The following is a 15,248-nucleotide window of genomic DNA, read 5'->3' on the forward strand; positions in this document are numbered from 1 at the left end:
TGTGTATTCTCTGGCTGGGCCCGGTGGCTCACACCTGTAATCCCAGCATTTCGGGAGGCTAAGCTGGTTGGATCACTTGAGGTCAGGAGTTCAAGATCAGCCTGGCCAACATGGTGAAACCCCATCTCTACTAAAAATACAAAAATTAGCTGGTGCCTGTAATCTCAGCTACTTGGTAGGCTGAGGCACAAAAATTGCATGAACCCGGGAGGCAGAGGTTGCAGTGAGCCTAGATCACACCACTGCACTCCAGCCTGGGCAACAGAGTGAGACTCCATCTTAAAAAAAATGAATTTAAAAACTTTTTAAAACTATGTGTATTCTCTTGCATATTTTTAAGATGATATATGAAATTTTCACTATACATTTAAATTGTTGCAAGAGATGTAATTTCCCAACTATTGTAATGATTGACATTTAAAATAAAAACTATTTCATTCATCTTTTAAATGGACCCAATGAAATCTAAGTATTGAAACAGTTTCTTACTACCACCAGATTTTTTTTTTTTTTTTTTTTTTTGAGACAGAGTCTCACTTTGTTGGCCAGGCTGGTGTGCAGTGGTGAGATCTTGGCTCACTGCAACCTCCATCTCCCAGGCTCAAGCAATTCTCCTGCCTCAGCCTCCCGAGTAGCTGGGATTACAGGTGCCCATCAACATGCCTGGCTAATTTTTGTATTTTTAGTAGAGATAGGGTTTCGCCATGTTGGCCAGACTGGTCTTGAACTCCTGACCTCAGATGATCCGCCCTACTCGGCCTCTCAAAGTGCTGGGATTACAGGTGTGAGCCACCATGCCTGGCCTCTTTTTATAACAGAAATAGAAAAGAAAATATTAAATATTTTATATCCAGGGTGACTTCCCACCTCCCCTTTTGTCTAGAAATGCATTCCTCTTGAGGGAATCCCCTAGGAGCAAAGCAAAGAAGGCTGTGGCTTATGTGTGTAATCCCAGCACTTTGGGAGGCCAAGGCAGGAGGATCACTGGAGCCCAGGAGTTTAAGCACCAATCTGGGCAACATAACAAGACCTCCTCTCTACAAAAAAAATAAAAAATAAAACTCAGGTGTGGTGGCAAGTGCCTATAGTCCCAGCTACTCAAGAGGTTGAGGTGAGGGGATACTTTGAGCCCAGGAGTTCGAGGTTACAACAAGCTATGATTACACCACTGCACTCCAGTCCAGGTGACCCTATCTCAAAAAATAAATATATAAAAATTTTAATTGTTTTTCATTTAAAGAAAATATTAAACATTTTAAAGATGAAATAAAAGGAAAATATATATATTCCATTATATGATTTGACGAAAGAGTTTGGCTCCGTTCTTGACTAACACACAGCATCTGAAATAAATCTCACAAAAATATCATCTGTGAGTTCCAGCCAACATGTCTGAAAACGCTGGTATTCCCAGAGAACAGGCCGGCTCCACGCAAGACTCAGCACCACCACCCTCTGCTGCTCCCGATGCTCTGAGGCTTGTCCTGCTAAGGACGCGTCCTAAGATGAGCGCTGAGAACAGGGACAGAAGCGCTTCCAAAGGGGCTGGTATTTTCTATGTAGCTCTCTTGGCTTTGCTCTTAGGGGATTCCCTCCAGAAAGATGCATTTCTAGACAAAAGAGGAGGTGTGAAATGCAAAGCAGTGAACTAAATTTAAATTGCCATCTTAGCCGGGCATGGTGATTTACGGCCGTAGTCCCAGCTACTTGGTAGGCCGAGGCAGGAGAATCGCTTGAGCCTAGGAGTTCAAGACCAGCCTGGGCAACATAGCAAGGTCCTGTCTCTACAAAAATAAACATAAAAATTAAAAAATTAGCCGGGCCTGGTGGTGCATGCCTGGAGTCCCAGTTGCTAGAGAGGCTAAAGTGGGACGATTGCTTGAGCCCGGGAGTCTGAGGCTGCAGTGAGCCATGATTGCTATTGTGCTGTATTCAGCCTGGGCAAGAGAGTGAGACCCTGTCTCAAAAAAAAAATTGCGTTGAATTCCCTAACCTCATTCCCATGCCCCTACCTTCAGAACTTCATCAAAGGGGGACAACCCCACACAGTGACATCTGGGGCAGGCATCATGGAGAAGAGAGACTGTCACCTCAGATGCTGTTCCAGCCTGGCCAACTTTAGGCAAGAAGACATATGGAAGTTGAGTCCTGGAAACTGATTCCCTAAAGCTCTGCCTGTCACTGGAATGTAAACATACCATCCAGTATCACTGCAATATTTTCTGGCACTACCCAAATTTTCAAGATACATCAGCTAAGAATCATAGATAAATCTTTTACAAAAATGTTTTAGGCCAGGCGCAGTGGCTTTCACCCGTAATCCCAACACTTTGGGAGGCTGAGGCGGTCGGATCACCTGAGGTCAGGAGTTCGAACCCAGCCTGGCCAACATGGCGAAACCCCGTCTCTACTCAAAATACAAAAATTAGCCAGGTGTTAAATTAGCTGGGCATGGTGGTGCATGCCTGTAGTTCCAGCTACTTGGGAGGCTGAGGCATGAGAATCGCTTGAACCTGGAAGGCAGAGGTTGCAGTGAGCCGAGATCATGCCACTGCACTCCAACCTCTGTGACAGAGTGAGACCCCGCCTCAAAAAAAATTTTTTTTTAATTCCATATATTAGTGATATGGAAGGGAAGTGCTGGGAAGGGAAGAGTGTGGTCCCTTTAAATGATACAGAAGAGGGGAAAGGAAGTGCTGGGTAGAGGAGTTCATGGTCCCTGGCTAGGACTCCACCCCCAGCCTGTGCCCACGGACCTAGGTAAGGACAGGCATTTTTGTTTTCCTGCCCAAATGTTGCATTTCCCAAGACCACCCTGGCCTGCCACACCCCTATCTTGTGCCTGGAAAAAACCCCAAGACTGTAGCCAGAAGACACACAGGAGGCTGGATGTGGAGAGGAACACACCGACAGGCATGCTGGCAGGCCATCGACTGGTAGAATGACGTAGCGTTTGGCTGGGGCAGTTGGAGGAGATCTCGGGCCACCGAGTGGCCCGACTCCAGGAGAAAACCATCTCCCTTCTGGCTCCCCCATCTGAGAGCTACTTCTACTCAATAAAACCTTGCACTCATTCACCAAGACCATGTGTGATCCAATTCTTCCGCTACACCAAAGCAAGGACCACAGGACACAGAAAGCCCTTTGTTCTTGTGATAAGGCAGGGGTCTAATTGAGCTGTGACTAATACAAACCATCTATGGGCGGCTAAACTGAAAGAGCACATGGTACACACGCCCACTGGGGCTTCAGGAGCTGTGAACATTCACCCCTAGACGGTGCTGTGGGGTCGGAGCTCCACAGCCTGCCCATCTGTATGCACCCATAGAGGTTTGAGCAGAGGCAGCACTGAAGAAGCGAGCCACACCCCACCATGCTGCTTTTCACTAGTCAATAAAGTAGCAAAACCTATTTTTCTTCCCTCCTAGAAAGACTTTGTGCACCCAGAAACCTGTGTACCCCCAGTTTGAAGACCTCCGAGCTTGTCTACCTGACCCGGGAGCTAAAGACATTGAGGAAATCCTTTTCCATTTCAACCTTGTTGGCTCTCAGCGCTCATCTGAAGTAGAAGCTTTGCATTCCAGCAATAGCACAAAGGCAAAAGTTGTATTTGGTCGGAGGCTACATATAAGGGACTGCAGCAGAAAAAAAAGAATCACAATGATAGAACTTAAAGCTCTTGTCCCCATTCTGCCTGTAAAGCACAGTGAGAAGCAAGTGATGAGCACCAAGACCAGGGCTGTCAGAATAGCCGTGCTTCAGAAGCATGAGCTGGGCTCATCCTGTTGGGCTCCAGGCTGTGATGCTGTGGCAGGGGCCAAGTGACTTGGTGCAGAGGGGCTGCTGCCGAGCTAAGGCTCTGAACCAGAGCTTGCCATGGCCCAGAAGTGAAATGCGAACCCCGTGCCAGCCCTGGGCTGGCCCCAGGACCCACTCCAACTGCTTAAGGATCCCCCTGTGGGCTTCAGGCCCCGTGAGATGGAGGTGGAGGGTTCACAGGACCTCCCATGAGGTTAAGTGGGTGGGGAGGCTGCCTGTCATGCTGGGTGGCCACTCGAGTTCTCCATTCCCAGGCAGGAAGCTGCCATCTGGTGAAGAAATGGCAGAGAAAGGCTCAGAGTAGAGGACGCAGCTGGGCAGGTTCTACCCTCCCTTCTGCCCAGTGCAACAGGAAGCCCTTGGAGAGTGGGACCTCTATTTGCAAAACCCCTGAAGGTCCCACAGGGGAAAGAACACAAGACTTGGAGTCAAGTAGACCTGGGCACGCACCATGGCCCTGCCCGACTCACTGAGAGACCATGGCCTTCTGCATTCCACAACGGGGGGCTTATCACAGCCGTGACCCAGGCCCCTGTGAAAAGCCCGCCCTACTCAGCCTGGTGGCCTCTGATGCGGTCCCCTCCTCGGCTCCCATGCCCCCTCTCTTGGGTTTATAACCCAGCTCACATTGGGACAGCCTCTTCATGTATCTAATCTCAACCCACCACCGCCCCGAGAGCTACCTTCTCGTTATTGCCACGTGGTGGAGTCCGGACTCCGTCTGGTTGAGACGTCTGTGAGCAACACCAGGACACAAACCTCGTTCTGTCCAACTGTGGAAACGGCCGTTTCCACTGGCCCATCACTGAGTCACAGAAAAGGCACAGGCCCTACGAATGCCGACATCGCCTCCCATAAAACCTGACGGGGGAAGAGGAGGATCCAATTTTTGGTGTTAGAAAAATTGTAAATTGTAATGAACATGCTAGACGATGTTCCAGGGACAGGCACTTGGCAAGCGTTGTCCTGCAGGGGGTGCTATCCACTCAGCGACCCACAACAGCCTTGGGGCTGAGAGGCGGGGGCTGTTTCCAGCCCAGCTGAATCCCACATGCTGGGGGGTCATTTGCCAGGTATCTACTTGTTAAAATGCTTGCTTTGCTATGAGCCATCCCAGCGAGCTCAGACAAATAACACTGTTCTTCAAAATCACAAAAATATATGTAGCCTGCAAAACACACACAATCATTTATTTCAGAAATACACCACCATGCTGGGTGCAGCGGCTCATGCCTGTAATCCCAGCACTTTGGGAGGCCGAGATGGGCGGTTCACTTGAGCCCAGGAGTTCAAGACCAGCCTGGACAAAAAAGCAAGACCCTGTCTCTACAAAAATTTTTAAAAATTAGCCAGGCATGGTGGTGCACACCTGGGTTAGTCCCAGCTACTCTGAAGGCTGAGGCACAAGGATCACTTGAGCCCGGGAAGTCAAGGCTGCAGTGAGTCAAGATTGTGCCACTGCACTCCAGCCTGGGCAACAGAGTGAGCCCTTGTCAAAATAAAGAGGCTGGGCGTGGTGGCTCATGACTGTAATCCCACCACGTTGGGAGGCTGAGGTCAGAGGATCACTTGAGCCCAGGAGTTTCAGATTGGGAGGCTGAGGTGGGAGGATCACTTGAGCCCGGGAGTTCCAGATTAGACAAGATCTCGCTCTTTCACCCAGGCTGGAGTGCAGTGGTGCGATTTCAGCTCATTGCAGCCTTGACCTCCCAGGCTCAGGCAATTCTCCCACCTCAGCCTCCCGAGTAGCTGGGACTACATGTGTATGCCACTACACCTGGCTAACTTTTTATTTTCATTTTTTGGTAGAGATGGGGGTCTTGCTTTGTTGCCCAGTCTGGTCTTGAATTGCTGGCCTCAAGCAATCTTCCTGCTTTGGCCTTGCTGAGATTACAGGCATGAGTCACCATACCTAGCATCATTTTCTTTTCTTTTTTTTTTTTTTTTTTTTTTTGAGACAGGGTCTTGCTCTGTCACCCAGGCTGGAGTGCAGTGGCACAATCTTGGCTCACTGCAACCTCCGCCTCCCAGGTTGGATCGATTCTTGTCCCTCAGTCTCCCTAGTAGCTAGGATTACAGATGTGTGCCACCATGCCTGGCTAATTTTTGTATTTTTAATAGAGATGAGGTTTCACCATGATGGCCAGGCTGGTTTTGAACTCCCGGCCTCAAGTGATCTGCCTGCCTCAGCCTCCCAAAATGCTGGGACTCCAGGTGTGAGTCACCGCTCCCAGCTTCTTTTCTATTTGTATTCTATTTCAGGTTGTTGTTTTTTCCTTTTTTGGTTTAACTGCACTTTTTGAGTATGTAAGATAATGTTCATGATTCGAAAGTCAAAACCATATCAAAAAGTGAGCTCCGAGCATCTCCCTTTCCCATGGCAGACGCGCATTTGAAGGAGCTGCCTCCAGGCCTCCCAACTCCACTGCTCCGGCCTCCAGCCTGGCCCTCTTGGACACAGAGCTTGGACACCCAGGTTCCTGTCAGGACTGAAGTGGCCCAGAGCTGGCAGGGCCTCTAGAGGTCATCCACCATGCTTTTCCCTCCAGCAGACAGAAAGTGGATGTCAGACTTCGGCCACCAGGGCAGGAGCAGAACTCAGGCGTGGCACTTCACAGTTCCAGAACCCTAGGGTCTCTCAGGCTGGAGTGGGGGTGGGGCACTCACCTTTATCCAGCTGTCTCTGCTAGTCAAGCAAAAGCACTGGGCAGGCTGTTTTCTCTAAATCCTCCTGACAACACTGGGAGGTGCTCCAAGGAAGACACAGACACGTGGAAAGCTTCAAAGACGTAACTGGTCTGACCCAAACTCCTTGCTTTTCTGACACTGTATCACAAAAAAATCTTCTCCTGCCATTCCCACCAATCAATTTCATCCTAAGTTCTTCGCTTACACCAGCAGCAGCATCTTCCAGGCTTCCAGGCCAGCAGTGGAGGAGTCATTTTTAGCTCTTCCTTCTCCTTCACCCTGGCATCCCATTTGTGGGCACAGAGCCCGGCCCTAGAGGGCTGGGAGAAACCGCAGAGGGCATCCAGTTCAGCTGCCCACGTAACACTTGGATTTTCTGTAAACATTTGTGGTGAAGCTGCTGCCCAGGCTCAGCCTAAACACGGCCCCCACCTCTGTGCGAGGGAGCTCGCCACTCCCTGACATGACTGTTGCATCTTGAAACGGTTATGATGTTCAAAAGTCTGCCTCAGTTTGAGAGTAAATCTGCCTCCCTGTTGCCTCCTCTCCTCGCTCCCTGCACGCACGTCCACTGGTTCTAGTTTTTTGCGGGGGTGGTATAGAACCGATCTGACCTCTTCTCTGTCTTAGCCCTTTGAATGAGAAAGCCGTGATCAAGCCCCCAGCGGGTAAATATTCCCCATTGCTCCAGCTGGTCCTCATATGACTAGTTTCAAATCACTAGACAGTCTAGTCCCTTCTCCAATCATGCGTCAGTTCATCTAAACTGGGTGTTGCAAACTCAATGCCTAAGGGGGCCAAGCAAGCGGCATGGGTGAGTGAGACGGGTGGAGCGTAGCAATACGGAGTGGTGGGGACTGCAGCCAAGAGGTGTTTCAGCCAATTGCTGCCATGCAGAAGTGAGGCCCTGCATCCCCAGATCCTCTCGTTTTCGAATAGGAATCAGTATAATTTGGGTTTGGATTTGAAATGTTGATTTTTTGAGTTGGTTATTAGTTTTTCTTTTTTTTTTTTTTTTTCTTTTTTTTGAGACAGAGTCTCACTCTGTCACCCAGGCTGGAGTGCAGTGGTGCGATCTCGGCTCACTGCAACCTCCACCTCCCAGGTTCAAGCGATTCTCCTGCCTCAGCCTCCCACGTAGCTGGGACTACAGGCACGTGCCACCATGCCCACCTAATTTTTTGTATTTTTAGTAGAGACGGGGTTTCACCATGTTAGCCAGGATGGTCTCAATTAATTTTTCAAACACAACACACTATATGAATCAACACTGTGAAGCAAACAAAAACCTATGGGCACCATCCCAGCACTTTGGGAGGCCGAGGTGGGCAGATCACGAGGTCAGGAGATCGAGACCATCCTGGCTAACACGGTGAAACCCCGTCTCTACTCAAAATACAAAAAAATTAGCCAGGCATGATGGTGGGTTCCTGTAGTCCCAGCTACTCGGGAGGCTGAGGCAGGAGAATGGATGAACCCGGGAGGCGGAGCTTGCAGTGAGCCGAAATTGTGTCACTGCACTCCAGCCTGGGCGACAGAGCAAGACTCCATCTCAAAAACAAACAACAAAACAAAACAAAACAAAACAAACCTATGGGCACCAGTGTGCAACCTCTGGTTTACTGGCATCTTAAAATGTGCTACATAAAATTTGCTGGGTGCTGGCCGGGACAGTGGCTCATGCCTGTCATCCCAACACTTTGGGAGGCCAAGGCAGGCGGATTGCTTGAGTCCAGGAGCTTGAGACCAGCCTGGGCAACATGGCAAAACCCCATCTCTATTAAAAATACAAAAATTAGCCGGGTGTGGTGGCACTTGTCTGTAGTCCCAGCTACTTGGGAGGCTGAGGTGGGAGAATCACCTAAGCCAGGGAGGTTGAGGCTGCAGTGAGCAGAGATCACACCACTGCACACCTGCCTGGGCAACCAGAGTGAGACCCTGTCTCAAAAAGATAAATAAATAAAATTTGCTGGGTGTGGTCGCGTTGCCTGTGGTCACAGCTACTTGGGAGGCTGGGGTGGGAGGACAGATTGAGCACAGGACTTCCAAACCAACCCGCAGTGCCCTGACCAGCCAGCTGTCTCCCTCTCCCACCCCTCTTCCTCACCGAAGCCCAGGGCACCCTCATCACCCTGTTGTCAGCCCCTGCCCTAGGGACTTACTGTGGCCAGACCTCAATGCCAGGCCTGGCCCCTCCTGGAGAGCACGCAGGCCAGGGCCTTGTCTCATGCACCCATTGGCTTCTCCCCTCCTTTCTCACCCACTCCTCCACACTTTCGCTCAAGCCAAGCCTGCCTCAAGGTGCCTTCTTCCTCCCCTGCCCGCATCTTACGTCCTCTCTGAGGCCTTCCCTGGTGGCTAAGCCCACAGTGGTGTCCCTCACGTGCTTGGCCAGTACTACGTGTAAAATGGGGAGAATGACAGACCAAACTCAAAGAGTGTCTGAGGAATGAATGAGGGGACTCGGGTCAAGTGCTTGGAGTAGAAGCTGGCACACAGCAGTGCTTGATGAACATCAGAGCCATGCATTATTATTAATATCACTCTTAATATCCCATTTCATGCTGAATCCACACGCTGCCTGGTGCTCTCTTTCACATTTGCTAATCACATCTCTCCAATTGAGTGAGGAAGCAGAAAGGACCCTGGAGGCAGAGACTGGTGGACCTGGATCTGAATTCCATGTTTCCCATGTGTTACCCCAGGGAAGTCACATAACCTTTCTTGGCCTCTGTTTTTGAGTCTGTAAAATGGAGCTAATGAGTCCCCATCCTCAGGGCTGTGATAAGGATCTGATGAGGCAATGTCTGCGAAAGCTCTAAGTAAACTGGGAAGAAATGCTGTGAGAACGACCGTTGCCGGGGAGGAAATTCCAGGCCAGCCATGGTGTTGCTGGAGTCAAGGGCCAGGTGGTTCTGCTTTTGATCAGATCTAGAATGTCCACAAATGGCTAGTCTGTGCCAGACTTTTGAAGTATGAAGTACACTGTAAAGTCACCTCTAAACCTCTCCACTTGTCCCCTCCAGTCTGTCCCCGGCTGCTCTCTGCACCAACTGGCCCTTTTCATTCTCTCCTGGTATCCCAGCCTCCTGACCTCCCTTCCCAGACTCTGCCCACTTAAGTCAATCTCTGCACTGTGGCCAGCATGATCTACCTTCCTGCAGCCCATTCACTCATTCGCTCACTCATACATTACACAATTGTTTATTCAGTTATTACCAGGTGTTCTGGAAATAAAACAGACCAAAATCCCTGCCCTGATGGGTTTTACATTCTAGCAAAATACAGACTTATTATGTAACCTCTGTGCTTTAAAAACTCAACTGGTTTTCCAATTATGCTGGAGTCAACAAAAGTCTTGGCAGGGCGCGGTGGCTCACGCCTGTAATCCCGGCACTTTGGGAGGCTGAGGTGGTCAGATCACGAGGTCAGGAGATCGAGACCATCCTGGTCAACATGGTGAAACCCCGTCTCCACTAAACATACGAAAAGTAGCTGGGTGTGGTGGCACATGCCTGTAGTCCCAGCTACTCCGGAGACTGAGGCAGGAGAATTGCTTGAACCAGGGTGTCGGAGGTTGCAGTGTGCTGAGATTGCGGCACTGCACTCCAGCCTGGTGACAAAGCCAGACTCAGTCTCAGAAAAAAAAAAAAAAAGTCTTGAGCGTAGCCTCCAGGACAGTTTGTGGTCAGCCTCTGCTCCCTTTCAGCTCCCTCCCCGCCTTCCCAGAAGGGAAGGCTGCCTTGGGCTCCAGGTGGGCCACGCCCCTTCAGACGCAGTGACCTTGCTTTGGTTGTTTTCGCAGTCTGGAAAGTCCTCTTTTAAGTTACAGGTTGCTGAATGTTTTCTCCGTAGAGGAGTTTATTCTCAGTCTGGCCTGGTAGCCCAGGTCAGGGGCCTCTCCTCCCCTGAGGTGTGCAGACAGACAAGTCACCCGGAGGCTCCTGACAAGGACTCTGCTTGACCCAATATTAGTCGGGCCCCTGAGGCTTCTCCTAGACCCATCTGTGTGCTTCCTTATACAATCCAGTTTTAGCAAGAACCCTGCTAGCTCACTGTGGCAGAAACCCCCCACCCTCCATATCTGATCACCCTTGATATCTGGTCAGGCTTCTCCTCCCCATCACCCCTCTGGTGATGTCTGGTCACCCTAGCCTGTCTTCAGCTAGAATCGTGTTAGGTGAGTTTAGCTAGAATCCCCGACCCCTGATGTTGCTCTTAGTAATTCCCCATCCCCTGGCCCCCACCCTGCTCCTTGGCTATCACCCCCCACTCGCCCATGCTGTACTGGGAGTTGAGCCCAGTCTCTCTCCCCAACTGCAAGAGCCCACTCCAGCAGTTCCTGTGTCTATCTCCATGGTCCTGAATAAAGTCTGCCTTACTGTGCTTTTTTTTCTTTTTTTTTTTTTTTTTTGAGATGGAGTCTCACTGTGTCACCTAGGCTGGAGTGCAGTGGCGCGATCTTGGCTCACTGCAGCCTCCGCCTCCCAGGTTCAAGTGATTCTCTGCCTCAGCCTCCCGAGTAGCTGGGATTACAGGCACATGCCACCACACCCAGCTAATTTTATTATTATTATTATTATTGAGACAGAGTCTCACTCTGTCACCCAGGCTGGAGTGCAGTGGCACAATCTTGGCTCACTGCAACCTCCGCCTCCCAGGTTCAAACAATTCTCCTGCCTCAGCCTTCCAAGTAGCTGCGACTACAGGTGCCTGCCACCACGCCCGGCTAATTTTTGTATTTTTAGTAGAGACGGGTTTCACCGTATTGACCAGGCTGGTCTTGAACTCCTGACCTTGTGATCCACTCGCCTCGGCCTCCCAAAGTTTTGGGATTACAGGCGTGAGCCACTGCGCCCGGCCTTGACCAGCTAATTTTTGTATTTTTAGTAGAAATGGGATTTCACCATGTTGGCCAGGCTGGTCTCAAACTCCTGTCCTCAGGTGATCCACCCACCTCGACCTCCCAAAGTGCTGGGATTACAGGCGTGAGCCCTGCCTTTACCTTGTGTGCACCCAACCTTTACTGTGCTTTAACAAGTATTATTGAATGACTTTTGTTTTGTTTTGTTTTGCTACAGGCACCAACACGGCTCACTGCAGCCTTGACCTCCCGGGCTCAGACGATAGTCCCACCTCAGCCTCCAGAGTGGCTGAGACTACAGGCATGCGCTGCCACACCTGGATAATTTTTTGTAGAGACCGGGTCCTGCCATGTTGGCCAGGGTGGTCTTGAACTCCTGGGCTCAAGTGATCCTCATGCCTTGGCCTCCCAAAGTGCTGGGATAACAGATGTGAACCACCTTGCCCACCCTCACTTTTTTCTTTAACACTCCCAAAGGTCATTTCCCTAGTTGCTTCCCCAGCATCTACACAGCGGATGCTTAGCTCTGTGTGTGTGTGTGTGTGTGTGTGTGTGTAAAAGCGGCTGGTAAGGGATGTGTGTGTGTACGCACGTGTGTATGTGTGTGGGCATGTATGCGTGCGTGCGTGTGTGTGCGCATGTGTGTGCATGTGTGCATGTGTATGTAGAAAAGGGCTGATAAGGGATAGCAATGGCTTTGTGGGTGGCCAGAGGAGGGAAGCAGGGAGCACTTTCCAACAGGGAGACAAGCGAGGGTCTCTGGAGGATGTGCATGTGGTCAGGGCCTGGATGAATGAGTAGGATGTAACCACAGGAAGAACTGCCTGTTGGGCGACGGGGCCTGCAGGTGCCGAGACAGGGAGGCCAGTGGGATGGGACATACGACGGAGTCATCCAGTGTTCCCTGGGCCAGGAGAGGAAGGTGAAGAAAGGAAAGGAATAGGGAGGGAAAGCGGCAGAGAGGCAAAGCTGCCTGAGTGGGAAAGGCCTTGAGGGTCAAGCTGGGGAACTGGACCCCAGCCTGTGAAGTGGGGTCAAGCAAAAGCTCCCACAGGACAAGAACAGGTTATAGGGGTGGCCAAGGAGAAGCAGAGACTACCAACTTTCTAAAAAGGAGAGGAACTCTTAGCTTTTGGTGATGAGGCCAAGTAGAAAACTGGGCGTGGGGCTGCCACAGCTTCAAGAAGCCAGAAATCCAGTCTTTGTAGTCAAAATTCCTGAATGAAAATGTCACCATCAAATACAACGGGTGTTTTGGGTCTCCGGTTACACTCCCTCGGGCAGAGTTTTACATGATGCAGACCAAAATTAAGGCTGTTGGGGCAGACATGACTTGATAGAGGTTTATTGGAAGCCAAATGTGAGGATCAGCGCAGGAAGACACACTAACAAAGTCACTCCAAGAAAGCTGGGTGTGTTCCAGAGTCCGCTACAAGGTGGAGGCATGGGAAGCTTTTCTAAGAAGTTTTAGGGAAGCGGGGGGACTCCTCATACCAGAGTTGTCCTTTTGCATTAGAGGTGCAATACAGAGGTTACAATCGTGGGCTGCAGATGACAACATGCAGGCTAAATTTTTTTTTCTTTGAGACAGAGTCTCATTCTGTTGTCCAGGCTGGAGTTCAGTGCAATCTCAATCTCACTCACTGCAACCTCTGCCTCCCAGGTTCAAACAATCCTCCCACCTCAGCTTCCTGAGCAGCTGGGACTACAGGTGCACTCCACCATGCCCACCTAATTTTTGTATTTTTTTGGTAGAGACGGGGTTTCACCATTTGGCCAGGGTGGTCTCGAACTCCTGACCTCAAGCGATCCAACTGCCTCAGGCTTCAGAAGTGCTGGGTATGCGCCTCCGCGTGCCCAGCCTAAAACGTTCATGCAGGACAATCAGCAAAGCTTCGGGATTCAGAAACAGATCAGTGTCGTTTTCAGCGTCAGTAGGTTATGTATTAATCAGTATGTTAACAGTTTGAGGAACTCACAGAGGAGCTCACAGGAAGATTCTTTACTCTTCCTGTGACAGGATATAAGCCCCGAATCCTAAGACCTTCACCTTCCCTGGTGGTTAATTTGAAAGCCTGCCAAATGTATCCTGAAGGTTATCAATGGCAAGATCAAAGATGAGCATGGACCTGATGATAATAACGCTGGTGACTGGCATGGAGGTGGCATCAACCTAGGGAGGGCCTCAGCCAGCAAGCAGGAGCAGCCGGCCCACAGGGAGTGGGCTGCATTGTTCAGGTGGGCCTGAGAGGAAGAGGAGGGGAACTGGAAGAGAAGTAAGGTTGCCAGACAAAATGCAGAACACCCAGTTAAATGTGAATTTCAGATAACATTTTTTTTTTTTTTTGAAACAGAGTCTCACTCTGTCGCCCAGGCTGGAGTGCAGTGACGCGATCTTGGCTCACTGCAACCTCTGTCTCCCAGGTTCAAGCGATTCTCCTGCCTCAGCCTCCTGAGTAGCTGGGATTACCGGCACCCACCTCTACAGCCCAGCCAATTTTTCTATTTTTAATAGAGATGGGGTTTCACCTCATCTCTGCTAGCCTGTTGGCAAGGCTGGTCTTGAACTCCTGACCTCAAGTGATCCACCCACCCCTGCCTCCCAAAGTGCTGGGATTACAGCCGTGACCCATCGTGCCCGGCCAGATAACAAATTTTTAAGTGTAAACAATGGTATAAAAAAAAACCTGATTGTTGCTGGGTGCAGTGACTCACCTATAATATTACCCAGCACTTTGGGAAGCAGAGGTGGGAGGATTGCTTGAGGCCAGGGGTTCGAGACCAGCCTGGGTAACATGGGGAACTTTTCTCTACAAAAAATATAAAAATTAGCCGGGCAGAGGCTGAGGCGGGAGCATCGCTTGAACTCAGAAAGTTGAGGATGCAGTGAGCCCTGGTGGCGCCACTGCACTCCACTCCAGCCTGGGTGACAGAGCAAGACCCTGTCTCAAAAAGCAAACAAAGCCTGACGTGGTGGCTCATGCCTGTAATCCCACCACTTTGGGAGGCCGAGGCTGGTGGATCACCAGGTCAGGAGTTCAAGACCAGCCTGGCCAAGATGGCGAAACCCCGTCTCTACTAAAAATACAAAAATTAGCCAGGCGTGGTGGTGGGTGCCTGTAATCTCAGCTACTCGGGAGGCTGAGTCAGGAGAATTGCTTGAACCTGGGAGGTGGAGCTTGCAGTGAGCCGAGGTAGCGCCACTGCACTGCAGCCTGGGCGACGGAGTGAGACTCCGTCTCAAAAAAAAAAAAAAAAAAAAAGAAGAAGAAAAGTAAAGAAAAAGAGAACCTGGTTATCTGCAGTTGCAATTTACCTGAGTGTTCTGTATTTTTATTTGCTAAATCAGCAGACTCGACAAGGCACACTGAACAAGTGGACAGTGCGCCGGCGTGGAACATGGTAGGGCCAACAGTGTCTCCCGAGGGTACCTGGCCCCAGAAACCCAGACTGGCGGTCATCCTGCACAAAAGAGGCGGTTGAATCACCTGCAGCGCCTGGAGATGAGGAGGTAGGCGGGCGCCCGTCATTTCCCCGGGCCTCTCTTCCCCAGCACGGGCAAGCACTCGCCGCCCACGTCTTCTCCGTCCCTGCCCTGAAGGCAGCCAGCTCCGCGCTCCGCAGCGGCATCCCCGGGCCAGGATGGGGTGGACGGGGCGGGGCCCGTGCCTGGTTTCCTTCTCCCCCTCTGATGGCTCCCTCCAAGGGTCTTGCCGGTCCACCTCCTCCTTTACCTGCTCCCACATCTGGCAGCCCCTCCAGCCTTGACCTTGAGCCCTGTTCTCTGTTTTCTCCAGACCATCTCGTCCCGTCCCGGGGTTCAATATGCGGAGTACTTCAGCAGGGCATTTTTAAACCCTATTTCGACCTGTTTTAC

The 15,248-nt window shown here is 50.7% G+C and overlaps 1 long non-coding RNA gene across 1 annotated transcript, besides 3 other annotated features; it reads right to left on the reverse strand.

The window, feature by feature from the left end:
- Nucleotides 3,187-3,376: a silencer, noted in NCBI's record as "silent region_16708". NCBI's record gives its function as "represses an Ori minimal core promoter by ATAC-STARR-seq in GM12878 lymphoblastoid cells {active_cell/tissue: GM12878}" and the evidence as "EXISTENCE:reporter gene assay evidence [ECO:0000049][PMID:35858748]".
- Nucleotides 3,588-6,750, reverse strand: LOC124901147 (uncharacterized). Its single transcript, XR_007059076.1, has 2 exons — nt 6,487-6,750; nt 3,588-4,680 (listed from the first exon to the last, which is right to left on the reverse strand). It is a non-coding gene; the product is annotated as an uncharacterized LOC124901147 (long non-coding RNA).
- Nucleotides 4,566-4,815: an enhancer, noted in NCBI's record as "active region_23733". NCBI's record gives its function as "activates an Ori minimal core promoter by ATAC-STARR-seq in GM12878 lymphoblastoid cells {active_cell/tissue: GM12878}" and the evidence as "EXISTENCE:reporter gene assay evidence [ECO:0000049][PMID:35858748]".
- Nucleotides 10,157-10,829: a transcriptional cis regulatory region, noted in NCBI's record as "candidate enhancer chr5.4886 targeted for multiplex CRISPR interference". NCBI's record gives its function as "positively regulates DBN1 gene expression in K562 cells {active_cell/tissue: K562}" and the evidence as "EXISTENCE:mutant phenotype evidence [ECO:0000015][PMID:30612741]".

This window comes from Homo sapiens, chromosome 5, assembly GCF_000001405.40.
Source record: "Homo sapiens chromosome 5, GRCh38.p14 Primary Assembly".
Classification (NCBI taxonomy): Eukaryota; Metazoa; Chordata; class Mammalia; order Primates; family Hominidae; genus Homo; species Homo sapiens.